Below are 15,028 nucleotides of genomic sequence, written 5' to 3'. Positions count from 1 at the left end.
GCCGCGCCCTCCCGCGGGCGCCCCCCGGAGCCGGCCGGCGGCCAGGCGGCCCCAGCGGCGCAGGTCCCCGCGGCCCCTCCCCGCGCTCCCCGCCCTGCCCTGGAGGTGCCTCCGGGAGGCTTGGCGCGGGGTTTCCGCCCCGCGGGGCCCGGCGGCCGATCGGGGCCCGGAGCCAGGTGTGTCACCTGTGGAGCCTCTATGAGTGGGGAAACTGAGGCACGGAGCAGGGCGGGGTTGCCCAAGGGCACACAGCGAGGCAGTTTCAGGGCGGGCAGCCTGGGGCCCCACGGGGCGGCCCCGGACACTTGTTCTCACCTGTGGAGGGCAGAGAAGGGAACAGGGAGAGAAGTGGCCGGCTGGGAGTGGAGGTGGGTTTGAGGTTTTACTGTAAACTAAATGTGTACCCTCTACCTTAGTTATGAATTATGAGACACGAAGACTGCGAAACAGACACACTCCTCTAAAAGTGCCTCTAGGCTGACAGGGAGAAAGTCCCGCCAGGCTCCCAGACGCCACCTTTGAGTCCTTCAACAAGCCCGCCAGGGCCTCTTGCCCACCGGTGTCAGCTCAGCCACTGAACCCTCCAGGAAGAAGACGTGCTGGTAGGAGAAGAATCTCACCCAGGCACAGCCTGGAAGGGGCACAGAAGGGGCTCTGGAACCAGCAAGCCCAAGTTGGAACTCCCAGTCTGCTACTTTCTAGAACGACTGTGCCCTTGGCGGGTCTAAGTAGAACCTCTCCGCGCACTCTTTCCTCCTTTGTAAAGTGGGGACAGCAATGGCCACCTTGCAGGTTCAGAGAGGGCTTGCAGTACCTCACAGAACTGAGTGCCCGTGAACGTGTGTGTTCCTCCAGATTTGTGACAGCTTTGCCAGGCTGGAGTCAGGCTGAACGCCTCTGCCCTCATGGGGTTTATATTCTAGGAAGACCAACAAAAACAAGAAGACGGAAAATTAAAACAACAAAAGCCCCATTGACAGGCCATGAAGAATGCCATGAGAAATGAAGGGCGTTGTGCTGCAGTGTTTGGGGAAACTGGCTTAGGGAAGGAAGGACACTTGAGCTGCTACCAAGGAGCAGCCGTCCGGTGGGAGGGCAGTTCAGGAAGAGCAGACATCCACGGAGGAGGCGCTGGGGCAGAGGGCAGCCTGGTCGCTGGATTCGGGGGAGGAACCACATCAGGCCATGAGCTGGAGCTGGTGGTAGAAGGTACAGGAGAGGCCAGCCAGGGCCAGCACATGTCAGACCTCAGGCGGGGAAGAGGAATCGAGAATGCACCCCACGAGCAATGGGAAGCCAGGCTAGGATTTAAGCAGCAAAAATATTTTCCCTTCTTCCACCCTGCATCCAGCTCTACCAGCACAGCCTGGGGTTCTATTTTCAAGATAGAAGAGACCCAGACTCCCAGCTCTTCTTACACTTCTACTACTGCCACCTGTCACCCACTCATGCGTCCCCACTTGCAGCCTCGACCCCCTTCCACCTGATCTCATGGCAGCCAGGGAAGCTCCAGGGCTCGTGAGGGCTGCCATCTCAGGAAAGAAGCAAAAGCCTTCGGCACCTGCAGGGCCTGCTCCAACCACACTTCTTCCTTGACCTCTCAGCTTCCTTAGCCACTCCCTTCCCACATCTCACCCTGCTCCAGCCACAGTGGTGTCTCTGTGGGTTCTCAAACACACCAGGTGCACTCCTGCCTCAGGGCCTTTGTGCTTGCTGTTCTCTGCTGGGACTCTTTTTTTTTTTTTTTTTTTTGAGACAGGGTCTCACTCTGTGGCCCAGGCTGGAGTGTAGTGGTGTGATCGTAGCTCATTGCAACCTCAAACTCCTGGGCTCAAGCAATCCTCCCACCTCAGCCTCTCAAGTAGTTAGCTTTTGTTGTTTTGTTTTGAGATGGGATCTCACTCTGTTGCCCAGGCTGGAGTGCAGTGGGGCAATCTTGGCTCACCACAACCTCTGCCTCCCAGGCTCAAGCAATTCTCCTGCCTCAGCCTCCCAAGTAGCTGGGATTACAGGCATGTGCCACCACGCCCAGCTTATTTTTGTATTTTTAGTAGAGACAGGGTTTCACCATGTTGGTCTGGCTGGTCTTGAACTCCTGGCCTCAGATGATCCACCTGCCTCGGCCTCCCAAAGTGCTGGGATGACAGGCATGAGCCTGTCTCTAGTAGTTAGGACTACAGAGAGGGGCCATCATGCCTGGTGATCCTCCCACCTTTTCTGCTCCAACTCTTTCACCCCACTTAGCCTCGTGGCTCACTCTCTTACCTCTTCAGCTCCTCAGTCAGGCCTGAGGACCCCTGTTGAAAATTGCAAACCACACCCCCCACCACCACCACCCACTATTGCCAGCACTTTCTACTCCATTTCTCTGCTTTACTTTTCTCCTTTGTACTCATCACCACCTGACTCATTACATGTTTACGTATCTTTCTTCTCTCCACTAGCATGGAAGCTCCAGGAGAGCAGAGAGTGTAGTTTTATTCCCTGATGTGTTTCCTGTGCCCGTACCAGGGCCTAGCACACAGTAGGTGCTCAGTAAATGTGTGTTGGATGAACAAATACAGTGAAAGGATCTGATCTACATTTATAAAGAAGGCACTCTGGCTGCTGAGTGGGGATGAGACTGTCAGGAGGAAAGAGGCCCCTGTGGGGGCCTGGCCAGCAGGTGGGTACAATGGTAGCAGCCAGGAGAGAGGGCCTCTTGGACTCAAGTGGATGGGGCCTGCTCAGGGCTCCAGCCACAGGAACAAAGGGAAGGGGGCCCAGGATGGCCTGTCATAGAGGACACATTACAACTGGCCCAAAGTTCAAGTCAGGTTTCTAAATTTGGGAAGGGATACAGAAAAACTAAAGACTCTACTGGACAGTCAGTTATTGAAATGATTACATAGAAAATGTACCAAGAATTAAAAAAAAAAAAAAAAAAGCATTATGAAGGGGCCACCAGAGACTCCCAGAGAGGAAAGGGACTATGGGCTGGATGCGGTGACTCACACCTATAATCCCAGCACTTTGGGAGGCCGAGGAGGGTGGATCACGAGGTCAGGAGTTCAAGACCAGCCTAGGCAACATGGTAAAACCCCCGTTTCTACTAAAAATACAAAAAATTAGCTGGGCATGGCAGCATGTGCCTGTAATCCCAGCTACTCGGGAGGCTGAGGCAGGAGAGTTGCTAGAACCCAGGAGGCAGAGGTTGCAGTGAGCCGAGATTGAGCCACTATGCTCCAGCTTGGGCGACAGAGCAAGACTCCGTCTCTAAAAAAAAGAAAAAAAAGGCCAGATGAGGTGGCTCATGCCTGTAATCCCAGCACTTTGGGAGGCCGAGGTGGGTGGATCACGAGGTCAGGAGATCGAGACCATCCTGGCTAACATGGTGAAACTCCATCTCTACTTAAAATACAAAAAATTAGCCGGGCGTGGTGGCGGGCACCTGTAGTCCCAGCTACTTGGGAGGCTGAGGCAGGAGAATGGCGTGAACCTGGGAGGCGGAGCTTGCAGTGAGCCGAGATTGCGCCACTGCACTCCATCCAGCCTGGGCGACAGAGTTAGACTCCGTCTCAAAAAAAAAAAAAAAAAAAAAAAATTAGCTGATTAGTTGGGCTTGGTGGCGGGCGCCTGTAATCCCAACTACTCGGGAGGCTGAGGCGGGAGAATCACTTGAACCCGGGAGGCAGAGGTTGCAATGAGCCGATATCACGCCACTACACTCCAGCCTGGGCGACAGAGCAAGACTCCATCTCAAAAAAGAAAAAAAAAAAGAAAGGGGCTGTGCTGTGGCCTGGGACCCAAAGCACACTACTGCAAGGTCCCAGGGTGCCTGACTCCAACCGGAGCCTTGAGAACATTCATTTGCAAAGAATGAATTAAAATTCAGCACTATTTTATTCTGCAGGATTCCAGCACCCCAAGGACAGTCATTTTTAGACCCTTCAGTAACGTAATAAGTAACCGGAGGATGTGCTGAGCTTCCACTTCCCCAGACGGTTGCCTGTCACAGCTCATCAGGCCAACAAACTTTTCTTAGGCCTCAAATTTGGAAATGTTCACTCTCAGTTCGTTCCTTAGATGCAAGTCCATCCCAATGAAGTAACAGGGGCTCAGCACCTGTCCAATCTCATTGCTTCCGGGGACAGGGGCCCATGAGGATGTCGTTTCAGCCCGGTGACACTTGGGCAAAGTGCCTTTTGGTTTCCCTCCCAGGCTGGAACGTGCTGGCTCTGTGAAGTTACGCTGGGCACAAGAGCCCCCCCCAACCCGGCAGGACTGACTGCTGTGGTCAGAGGCGCCCCTGGGGCTTTGGGAGCCACAGAATCTTCCTGAGGGCAGCGCCGGAGGAGGCCCCAGTGAGAGTGCCCACTGCCAGGCTCATTCCTCAGGCTGCCGCAGGCCTCTCCCCAAAACAGGCAATGCTTCTCAGCAACCTGCCCCAGGAGCAGGCCAGGGAAGGCCGCCATCGGCCTACAGTGCTGGGCTCTGGAGGGCTTGGTTGGTAACAGGCCATGGTTTCTATGAGCCAGCTGGGGTGTGAAGGACACAGGCTGGATTCACCTCTCTGGGCCTCAGTTTCTGCATTCAAAAAGTGGGAATCATGATATCTGCTCTATTTCTTATCTCTCAGTGCTGATGTGAACCTCCAATAAGACTTTTAAAAATACTCTTTCTACCTTACTTTTATTTTTCATTTATTTTAAGATAATGTCTAGCTGTCTCACCCAGGCTGGAGTGCAGTGGTGTGATTACGGCTCACTACAGCCTTAACCTCCCAGGCTCAAGTGATCCTCCTACCACAGCCTCCCAAGTAGCTGGAACTACAGGCATGCACCACCGCACCTGGATAATTTTTTCTTTTGAGACAAGGTTTCACTCTGTTGCCCAGGCTGGAGTGCAGTGGTGCACTCTTGGCTCACTGCAGCCTCAACCTCCCTGGGCTTAGGTGATCCTCACACTTCAGTCTCCCAAGTAGCTGGGACTACAGGTATGTGCCAGTACACCCAGCTAATATTTTTGAAGGATGGGGTTTCACTATATTGCCCAGGCTGGTCTTGAACTCCAGGGCTTAAGCAATCTACCTTCCTCAGCCTGCCAAAGTGCTAGGATTATAGGTATGAGCCACCCCCCGGCCTATAATCCTACCACTTTAAAAAAGCCTGTAATTTTAGCACTTTAAAAAATTTTTCTAAATTTTTTATAGAGATGGGGGACAGCTGTGGTCTCACTGTGTTGCCCAGGCTGGTCTTGAACTCCTAGGATCAAGCCATCCTCCTGGCCTGGCCTCCCAAAGTGTTGGGATTATAAGCATAAGCCTTACCTTACCTTTTTTTTTTGAGTTGCAGTTTTGTTCTTGTTGCTCAGGCTGGAGTGCAATGGCAAGATCTTGGCTCACTGCAACCTCCACCTCCCGGGTTCAAGCAATTCTCCTGCCTCAGCCTCCCGAGTAGCTGGGATTACAGGCATGCGCCACCACACCCGGCTAATTTTGTATTTTTAGTAGAGATGGGGTTTCTCTATATACCTTAATTTTAAAGCACTGCATTCATGTAAATTGTGATTAACATGGATTCAAGAGAGGGAGTGAGGATGAATGAGCCAGGCACTCACCTCGGCTGTCACCCTCCACTTCTCTCCTCCTTCTGACAGTCATCGTCCATCCGTTTCTGCAGCTGTTTGTTTGACTCTCCTGATCATTTTGCTTGCCACATAACTTGCCTCCTGGGAAAGAATGCCCTGGGCAGGCCCACATGAGTAGTGAAAAATAATCTGCAGTGAAAAATAAAACTAAGTAGTCTGGTCCACAGAGCAGTCTTATTTTTTCACTGCAGATGAAGGAGTTGACATTCAGGCTTCATTCTCATTTATAAGTGTTTTAAAGACACATACAGTGGATTGAACAGTGGCCTTCAAAAAGATGTATCTACATCCTAATCCCTGGGACCTGTGAATGTTAACCAAGTTAGGAAAAGGGTCTTCCCGGGTGTCATTAAGTTAGAGATCTTGAGATGAGGAGCTCATCGTGGATTATCCAGGTGGACCCTGCATCCAAGGACAAATGGTCCTTAGAAAAGAAAAGCAGAGGCTGGGCACAGTGGCTCAAGCCTGTAATCCCAGCACTTTGAGAGGCCGAGGTGGGTGGATCACCTAAGGTCATGAGTTCGAGAGCAGCCTGGCCAACATGATGAAATCCCATCTCTACTAAAAATACAAAAATTAGCAAGGCATGGTGGCGGGTGCCTATAATCCCAGCTACTCAGGAAGCTGAGGCAGGAGAATGGCTTGCACCTGGGAGGCGGAGGTTGCAGTGAGCCAAGATCGCGCCACTGCACTCCAGCCTGAGGGAGAAAAGTGAAACTCTGTCTCATAAAAGAAAAGAAAAGCAGACAGAGATCTGAGACAGAAGAGGAGAGTGAAGGAAAAAAGGCCATGTGAAGATGAGGCAGAGGTTGGAGCCATGCAGCCACAAGCCAAGGAATACCTGGAGCCCCAGAAGTTGCAAGAGGTAGGAAGAAGCCTCCCCTAGAGCCTCCAGACGGAGCACAGCCCTGCCAACACCTCCACCTCAGACTTCTGGCCTCCAGCACTGTGAGATAATCAACTGCTGTTGTTTTAAGCCACCAGATTTGTGGTAATTTGTTATGGCAGCCACAGGAAACTAATACAGTACCTAATCTTCACAAACCCATCTTACAGAAAAGGAAACTGAAGTCAGAGAGGTAGTGGCTTGTGCAGTGTGTTAGGCCATTCTTGTATTACTATAAAGAAATACCTGAGGCCGGGCATGGTGGCTCACGCCTGTAATCCCAGCACTTTGGGAGGCCAAGGTGAGTGGATCACTTGAGGTCAGGAGTTCAAGACCAGCCTGGACAACATGGTGAAACCCCATTTCTACTGAAAATATGAAAATTAGCCAGGCATGGTGGCGTGCATCTGTAGTCCCAGCTACTCAGGAGGCTGAGGCAGGAGAATCACTTGCGCCCGGGAGGAGGAGGTTGTAGTGAGCCAAGATTGTGCCACTGCACTCCAGCCTGGGAGACAAGAGAGAAACCCTGTCTCAAAATAAATAAAAAACAAATAAACACCTGAGACTGGGTAGTTTATAAAGAAAGGGGTTAACTGGCTCCCGGTTCTGCAGGCTGTACAAGCATGGTGCCGGCATCTGCTTGGTTGCTGGGAAGGCTTCAGGGAGTTTTACTCATCGTGGAAGGCAGAGCCAGAGCAGGTGCATCACACAGCAAAAGCAGGAGCGAGAGAGAGAGAGAGCAGGGAGGTGTGCACACTTTTAAATGAGCAGATCTCACGAGAACTCACCATTGCAAGGACAGCACCAAGCCACGAGGGGTCTGCCCCCATGACCCAAACCTCCCACTAGGCCCCACCCCCAACATTGGGAATTACAGTTCAACATGAGGTTTGGGGGGACAAATATCCAAACTATATCATTCCACCCCTGGCCCCCCAGATCTCATGTTCTTCTCACATTGCAAAATATAGTCATGCCTTCCCAGTAGCCCCCCAAAGTCTTAACTCATCCCAGCATTAACTCAAAAATCCCATTCCCAAGTCCAACGTCTCATCTGAAGATGAGTTCCTTTCACCTACAAGACTGTAAAAATGAAAACAGTTATTTACTGCTGAGATACAATGGGGGCATAGGCATTAGGTAAACATTCCTGTTCCAAAAGGGAGAAATCTGTCAAAAGAAAGGGGCTATAGGCCCCAAGCAAGTCCAAAACCCAGCAGAGCAATCATTCAATCTTAAAGCTCCAAAATAACCTCCTTAAACTCCATGTCCCATAGCCAGGGCACACTGGTGCAAGGGGCAGGCTCCCAAGGCCTTGGGCAGCTCTATTCCTGCGGCTTTGCAGAATTCAGTCCCCATGGCTGCTCTTACAGATTGGAGATGAGGGCCTGCGGCTTTTCCAGGTGCAGGGTGCAAGCTGCTGGTGATCTACCATTCTGGGGTGTGGATGGTGGCGGCCCCGTCCCGCAGCTCCACTAGGCATTGTCCCAGTGGGGACTCTATGTGGGGCCTCCAACCCCACATTTCCCCTCCAATGGGAAGGCTCTGCCCCTGCAGCAGCCTTCTTCCTGGGCTCCCAGGCTTTCTCATACATCCTCTGACATCTAGGTGGATGGTGTCAAGCTTCCTTCACTCTTGCACTCTGCACACCTACAGGCTTAACACCACATGGAAGCTGCCAAGGTGTATGGCTGGAACCCTCTGAAGCAGCAGCCTGAGCTGTGACTATGGCCCTTTGAGCCAAGGCTGGAGCTGGAACAGTCTAGATGCAGGCAGGGAGCAGTGTCCTGAGGCTGTGCAGAGCAGCAGGGCCCTGTGCCTGGACAATGAAACCATTCTTTCCTCCTCATCCTCTGGGCCTGTGATGGGAGGGTTGTGGAAGATCTCTGAAATGCCTTTGAGGCCTTTTTGCCTCTGAGGCCTATTTCCTATTGTCTCAGTTATTGGCAGTCGGCTCCTTTTTAGTTATGCAAATCCTCTAGCAAGAGGTTACTCCACTGCCGGCTTGAACTCCTCTCCTGAAAAAGCTTTTTCTTTCTTTGTCACATGGCCAGGCTGCAAATTTTCCAAACTTTTATGCTCTGTTTTACCTTTAAATATAACTTCTAACTTTAATTCATTTATTTGCTCCTGCATTTGAGCATAGGGAATTCAAAGAAGCTGGGCCACATCTTGAATGCTTTGCTGCTTCAAAATTTATGGCCACGCTTGGTGGCTCACACCTGTAATCCCAGCACTTTGGGAGGCCTAGGTGGGCAGATCACGAGATCAGGAGATCGAGACCATCCTGGTCAACATGGTGAAACCCATCTCTACTAAAAATACAAAAAAATTAGCTTGGTGTGGTGGCGCAGACCTGTAGTCCCAGCTACTGGAGAGGCTGAGGCAGGAGAATTACTTGAACCTGGGAGGCAGAGGTTGCAGTGAGCCCAGATCATGCCACTGCACTCCAGCCTGGTGACAGAATAAGATTTGATCTCGAAAGGAAGGAAGGAAGGAGGAAGGGAAGAAATGTCTTCCCCCAGATGTCCTGGGTCATCCCTCTTATGTTCAAACTTCAACAGATCCCTAGGGCATGAAAATAATACAGCCAAATTATTTGCTAAGGCATAACGAAAGTGACCTTTGCTCCAGTTCCCAATAAGTTCCTCATTTCCATCTGAGACTCATCACCCTGGCCTTGGCTTGTCCATATCACTGTCAGCATTTTGGTCACAATCATTTAACCAGCTAATCGGGAGGCTGAGGCAAGAGGATCACTTGAACCCAGGAGGTTGAGGCTGCAGTGAGCTGTGATCACATCACTGCAGTCCAGCTTGGGCAACAGAGCAAGATCCTGTCTCAATAAATAAATAAATAAATACATAAATAACTTAAGTTTATTTAAAGCTGCATCTTTGCCACCATGGAGAAAGGCCAGGCCAGCTCCTTCTCTCTTTCTGCACGTGTTCCTCCCACCTCAGCTGCCTCCGCTCCTCAAGGAGGAACAGAGGGAGTAGGAAAGGCCATCCCAGGAGGCCCAGCACCCCATGACCTGGCTCTGGGGCCTTGTGGGTTTATGGATTCCCAGTGCTGAGTCATCCCTCACAGGCTCTTGTGGGCACCTTGGACATTGCTCAGAAGCATCTGGTCCCCGGGAACACACCTTTTCCTGATCATCTGGGAAGGGCAGCTTGTGCCAGCGAGGCCACCTGTTCAGCGCCACGGCCCGCCAGACAGCTGCAGCCACAGCCTTGCCTTTGATCAGAGCAAACACCAGACATGTGTGTCATGCCCCCAACCCATCTCCAGGGGACACATGTCCTTTCTTGCCAGGCCTGAGATGAACAAGAGAGGGACAAGTCCCCAAGCCTCTCTCTCCTTCCCGCCTCACCCACTCCGCTGTTAGATTCTCAAGGTGGATGGTGGGCTAACTAGGGCAACCGACCATCCTGGTTTACCTAGAACTGAGGGGGCATTTTCAGGAATAAAACTGCAAAAGTCTGGAGCAAACAGGAGCAAGTTGGTCACTCTGGGGCTGGTGGAGTCAGGTTTCCTTCTGCAGGCCCCCTCCCCGCAAGCATGGGTGGAACCCAGGACAGGAACACAGAGCAGGCCCCAGGACCGGGCTTGTCACTTACAAGTCTTTTTTTTTTTTTTTTTTTTTTGAGATGGAGTCTTGCTCTGTCATCAGGGCTGGAGTACAGTGGTGCCATCTTAGCTCACTGCAACCTCTGCCTTCTGGGTTCAAGTGATCCCCCTGCCTCAGCCTCCTGAGTAGCTGGGACTACAGGTGGCACCACCACGCCCAGCTAATTTTTTGTATTTCTAGTAGAGATGAGATGGCCAGGCTGGTCTTGAACTCCTGACCTCAAGTGATCTGCCCGCCTTGGCCTCCCAAAGTGCTGGGATTACAGGCGTGAGCCACTGTGCCTGGCCCCACTCACAAGTCTTAAACCATGCCTCAGCACATCAATGCCATTTACAAAAAGGTAGAGGGATTTTTCCAGGCAAAAATAGATGAAAGACATAGGCTGATTGATCATGTCCTGCTTAAAAATAGATCTGATGCTATTAAGAATTGTGGGCTGGGAGCGGTGGCTCACGCCTGTAATCCCAGCACTTTGGGAGGCCGAGGCAGGCGGATCACGAGGTCAGGAGATCGAGACCATCCTGGCTAACACAGTGAAGCCCCGTCTCTACTAAAAAATACAAAAAAAATTAGCCAGGCATGGTGGCGGGCGCCTGTAGTCCCAGCTACTCGGGAGGCTGAGGCAGGAGAAGAATGGTGTGAACCTGGGAGGTGGAGCTTGCAGTGAGCCGAGATCACACCACTGCACTCCAGCCTGGGCGACAGAGTGAAACTCCATCTCAAAAAAAAAATAAATAAATAAATAAGAATTGTTAGTATTTTGCAGGTGTGACAAATGATTCTGTTTCTGTGGCAGAATGTTCTCAGGAGATCTCTTTTGAACTCTCATGGAAAGCATCATGCTGTTGGCAACATCACATTTATTTTTATTTATTTATTATTTTTTAGAGACAGGGTCTTGCTCTGTTGCCCAGGCTGGAGTGCAGTGGCACAATCACAGCTCACTGCAGCCTCAACCTCCTGGGCTCAAGCAATCCTCCTGCCTCAGCCTCCCAAAGTAGCTGGGACCACAGGCGTGAGCCACTGCACTCAGCCCAATGTACCTTCAATATTTACATTTCTGGCAAAGGTAGCAAAACCTTAACAAATTTTGAATCTAGATAATAAAATTATGAGGCTGGGTGCAGTGGCCCTGACAGGGATGGCTCACATCTGTAATCTCAACATTTTGGGAGGCCAAGGTAGGCGGATCACCTGAGGCCAGGAGTTTGAGACCAGCCTGGCCAACATGGTGTAACCCTGTCTCTAACAAAAATACAAAAAAATTAGCCAGACGTGGTGGTGCACGTCTGTCATCCCAGCTACTAGGGAGGCTGAGGCAGGAGAATTGCTTGAACCCGAGAGGCAGAGGTTGTGATGAGCCGAGATCGCGTCATTGCACTCCAGCCTGGGCAAAAGCAAGAGCGAAACTCTCTCTCAAAAAAATAAAAAAAAAATAAATTAATGAATTAATTAAAATAAAATAAAATAATGGATAGTCACTGTAAAGAAAAAATAAATGTATATATCAGCCAACAAGTGATGGAATAGAGCACCCCATCTCCCTGGCTGGACAGATACATCCCACAACACCTGGAAGGCGGCTCCATGTAGAACTTTCTGGACTGCTTGAGGTGCTGTGCTGGAGCACGGTGACAGAGGAGCTGGACCATGGACCTCCCCCGGCCCCCACCAAGGGCGAGGTCCCCCTGTGGTGGGTCTGAGGGAGGCATCCGTATGGCCTCTGCGGCTTGGGCAGGGAATTTGGGGTCCAAGTACTTGGTGCAAAGCCTGGAAAGAGGGTTTGGGTGCTGAGGGCATATCCCCTGGGCCACATGGGGGCAGAAGTGGGGCCCCCTGAAGCTTGGAGTCCTGGGCAGGGGCATCTATTTTGCTGTCTGAGGCCTTCAGTACTTGAAGCAAAATGGAGGCAGAATGTCCCACCTTAATGCCCCTGATTCCTCCAAACCAATTCCAGAGACAGCAAGGGCCAGAACAGGGATGGCCCTGCCCAGGGTCATGCAGCGAGGAAGTGGCCAGGCTGGGATCTGAACCCAGGCTAATCCCCTCCCTTGTCCTCCTCCAGGCCCTCACCCCTGCATAGAGCCCTCCAGCTCACTCATCCTCGGCCAGCTCCATCTCCTCAGCTTGTAAACGCCACGGGATTCTCCCTTCTTAAAAACAAAGGCCTGGCCAGGCACGGTGGCTCATGCCTGTACTTTGGGGTGGCTCCCAGCACTTTGGGAGGCCAAGGTGGGCGGATCATGAGGTCAAGAGATTGAGACCATCCTGGCCAGCATGGTGAAACCCTGTATCTACTGAAAAAAAAAAAATTAACTGGGCATGGTGGCTAGCTACTTAGGAGGCTGAGGCAGGAGAATCGCTTGAACCTGGGAGAAAGAGGTTGCAGTGAGCCAAGATCGCGCCACTCCACTCTAACCTGGCAACAGAACAAGACTCCGTCTCAAAAAACAAACAAACAAACAAATAAACAAAAAAAGGCGGAGCGCGATGGCTCGCGCCTGCAATCCCAGCACTTTGGGAGGCTGAGGCGGGCGGATCACTTGAGGTTAGGAGTTTGAGACCAGCTTGGCCAACATGGTGAAACCCCATCTCCACTAAAAGTACAAAAATCAGCCAGGTGTGGTGGTGGGTGCCTGTAATCCCAGCTACTCAGGAGGCTGAGGCAGGAGAATCGCTTGAACCCATGACCTGGAGGCTACAGTGAGCTGAGATTGCGCCACTGTACTCCAGCCTGGGCAACAAGACTCTGTCTCAAAAAAAAAAAAAAAAAAAAGACTGGCCCTTCCCCTTCAGCTCTTCCTCAGGGTCCCTGAGCACTCTACACCCCCGTCTACACTGAGCACTCCACCCTGCTGTCTACACTGAGCACTCCACCCTGCCATCTACACTGAGGACTCCACCCCACTGTCTACACTGGCTGCCTCCCGCCCTCACCTCCTGCTAAGGCCATTCCCCGCTGCATCTGTCTTCTAGATTCTGCAGCCTTCAGCACGCTGGGCCCCTCCTTTGTCCCCTTGAGCCACCTCCAGCCTCCCCCTGAGCTGCTACTCCTCTCCCAGCAGCCTCCACCCAAGCCCCTCCAGTCCCCAAGCTGTCCCTTGCATCCAGCACTGCCCTTCCACGTGCCCCTTCCCTCCAGCTTCACAGCAGGGTGGGGCCTCCAGGCCCTGCCCACTGTGCCCATCCACAAGTTGTGGTGGGAGCTCCGAGGGGAGGCAGGGGTGTGCATGGACTTGGGACGTCCAAGTCTGGGACCAGGGGCAGCTGGTTGGTGGAGTGTGGAGGGGGATAGGGACTTTCAGGTAGAGAGGCTGTAGGGGCAAGATCGGGACGGCGGATGTCCCTAAGGAGGGCTCTGACCTGGGAAATATTGTGCAGCTTCCTCTTTGCCATTCCTGGAGCTCAGACACTGGCCGGCTCTCACCCCGCCCTTCCTGCAGGACACAGCTCCATCCCAGTGAGTTCCTAGTGTAGACATCTCCAGCAGCACGGATGGGAAAGGAAGTCATCAAAGGTGCCCAGGACCGGAGGCTTTTTCTGGAGGTGGCAGAGGAGGGTGTGGGTCTCAGGGCTCTGGCTGAGGGCAAGCGTGGGAGGTCTTAGGTCTGCACCAGCCCCGTGAAGGCCCCTCCTGCTCCCTGGTGGAGTCCTAGAGGGAACAGCAGCCCCTAGGCTCTAGCAGGAGTGGGTAGGGGCTTTTCTGGCTTCCTACTGTGCCAGCAGGATAGCTGGGCCTGGCACTGAGCCCAAAGATCACATGCCGGGGCATTGGCGCAGTGAGGAACAGACCCTCGCCAAAGCTGGCAAAGAAGACCCCATGGGGTGCAGCTGGTGAAGCTGAGAGCTCAATGTTTGGGGGAGCCTGGCAAAAGGGGTCCTCCCCTCCCTCTGCAGGCCAGGATCGCAGGTTTTCCCTACATGTTGGTAATTCTCAAACAATCCCATGGCCACTGGAGCAAAGATCACAGTGGGCGGCGGCCTCGGGAGCAGTGGACAGGGCACGCAGTGCCTTTGATGCCAGAGCCCTCGCCCCAAAGTCAACAAACTCTGCAGCGGACTTTGCACCCGGACTTTGTTTTCACCATACAAGGAAAGGGACAGATCACAGGCCCTCTCGCTGCCCTCGCTGAGCCGGAAGCTGCAGCGTGAGCTCTCTCAAGCCCCATTTCTAGGTTCCCCAGGCGCACCCCTGAGCCCCTACTCGCCTATTAAGTTCTCCTAATAGCCCTTCAAGGTCTTAATGTATGTCCATTAGACAGAGGGGAAAACTGAGGCGAGGGCAAGTGACTTGACCGAGGTTCCTCGGCGAGCAGGGCGTGGAGCTGAGAACCTCGTTATTACTGCTCCCCACACAACCCTCTGGCCGTTCTTGGAAGAGGCTGAGCCCGGGAGGGCCAGAGTGACCCAGACACCATGGGCCGCCTGCGGTAACACGTGCGGCCACGAGGGGGCAGCAGCGTCCCGCCCGGCCGGGCTCTCTCCGGCGCTCAGTATCCGTCCCAGGCCAAGAAGAAGAAACTCGGGGAGGAGGGCGGAGGGGGCTGCGTGGGAGGACGTGGAAGATGGACGTGGCCAGGGGAGTGGCAGCTGCACACACTGGATGCTGTTAAGATGAAGGGAAAGAACGTGGGCTCCGAGATCACTGGACACGGTTCCACCCTTCTTCCCGCTCACTGCATGGCCCTGGGCGGGTTGTTGAACCCTTGGAAACCTGTTTTTCCTTTTTTCCTTTTTTTTTGAGACAGGGTCTTGCTCTGTGGCCCAGACTGGAGTGCCGTGGCACGATCTTGGCTCACTGCTGCCTCCCAGGTTCAAGTGATCCTCCCAGCTCAGCCTCCTGCGTAGCTGGGACCCCAGGTATGTGTCACCACAGCCGGCTA

General features: G+C 52.8%; 1 protein-coding gene across 7 annotated transcripts in view, besides 3 other annotated features; it reads right to left on the bottom strand.

Moving 5' to 3' along the window:
• Positions 1 to 14,095, bottom strand: part of LRP5 (LDL receptor related protein 5) — a 150,864-nt gene extending 136,769 nt beyond the window's left edge. For all 7 annotated transcript variants that reach the window (XR_001747874.2, XM_011545031.2, XM_011545029.2 and 4 more), the window contains exon 1: positions 13,509 to 14,095. Coding sequence is in view for 6 of the 7 variants with exons in the window: in XM_011545031.2 (XP_011543333.1) it covers positions 13,509 to 13,626 (118 nt within the window). In the remaining variant the exon portion in view is untranslated. The remainder of the gene's footprint in view (positions 1 to 13,508) is intronic.
• Positions 2 to 291: a silencer, noted in NCBI's record as "silent region_3667". NCBI's record gives its function as "represses an Ori minimal core promoter by ATAC-STARR-seq in GM12878 lymphoblastoid cells {active_cell/tissue: GM12878}" and the evidence as "EXISTENCE:reporter gene assay evidence [ECO:0000049][PMID:35858748]".
• Positions 11,522 to 12,269: an enhancer, noted in NCBI's record as "H3K27ac-H3K4me1 hESC enhancer chr11:68067706-68068453 (GRCh37/hg19 assembly coordinates)". NCBI's record gives its function as "activates a minimal SCP1, AML or CMV promoter by ChIP-STARR-seq in naive and primed H9 embryonic stem cells {active_cell/tissue: H9 hESC(naive and primed)}" and the evidence as "EXISTENCE:reporter gene assay evidence [ECO:0000049][PMID:30033119]".
• Positions 13,019 to 13,766: an enhancer, noted in NCBI's record as "H3K4me1 hESC enhancer chr11:68066209-68066956 (GRCh37/hg19 assembly coordinates)". NCBI's record gives its function as "activates a minimal SCP1, AML or CMV promoter by ChIP-STARR-seq in naive and primed H9 embryonic stem cells {active_cell/tissue: H9 hESC(naive and primed)}" and the evidence as "EXISTENCE:reporter gene assay evidence [ECO:0000049][PMID:30033119]".

Source organism: Homo sapiens, chromosome 11, assembly GCF_000001405.40.
Source record: "Homo sapiens chromosome 11, GRCh38.p14 Primary Assembly".
Classification (NCBI taxonomy): Eukaryota; Metazoa; Chordata; class Mammalia; order Primates; family Hominidae; genus Homo; species Homo sapiens.
This window is presented reverse-complemented; position numbering and strand designations above follow the sequence as displayed.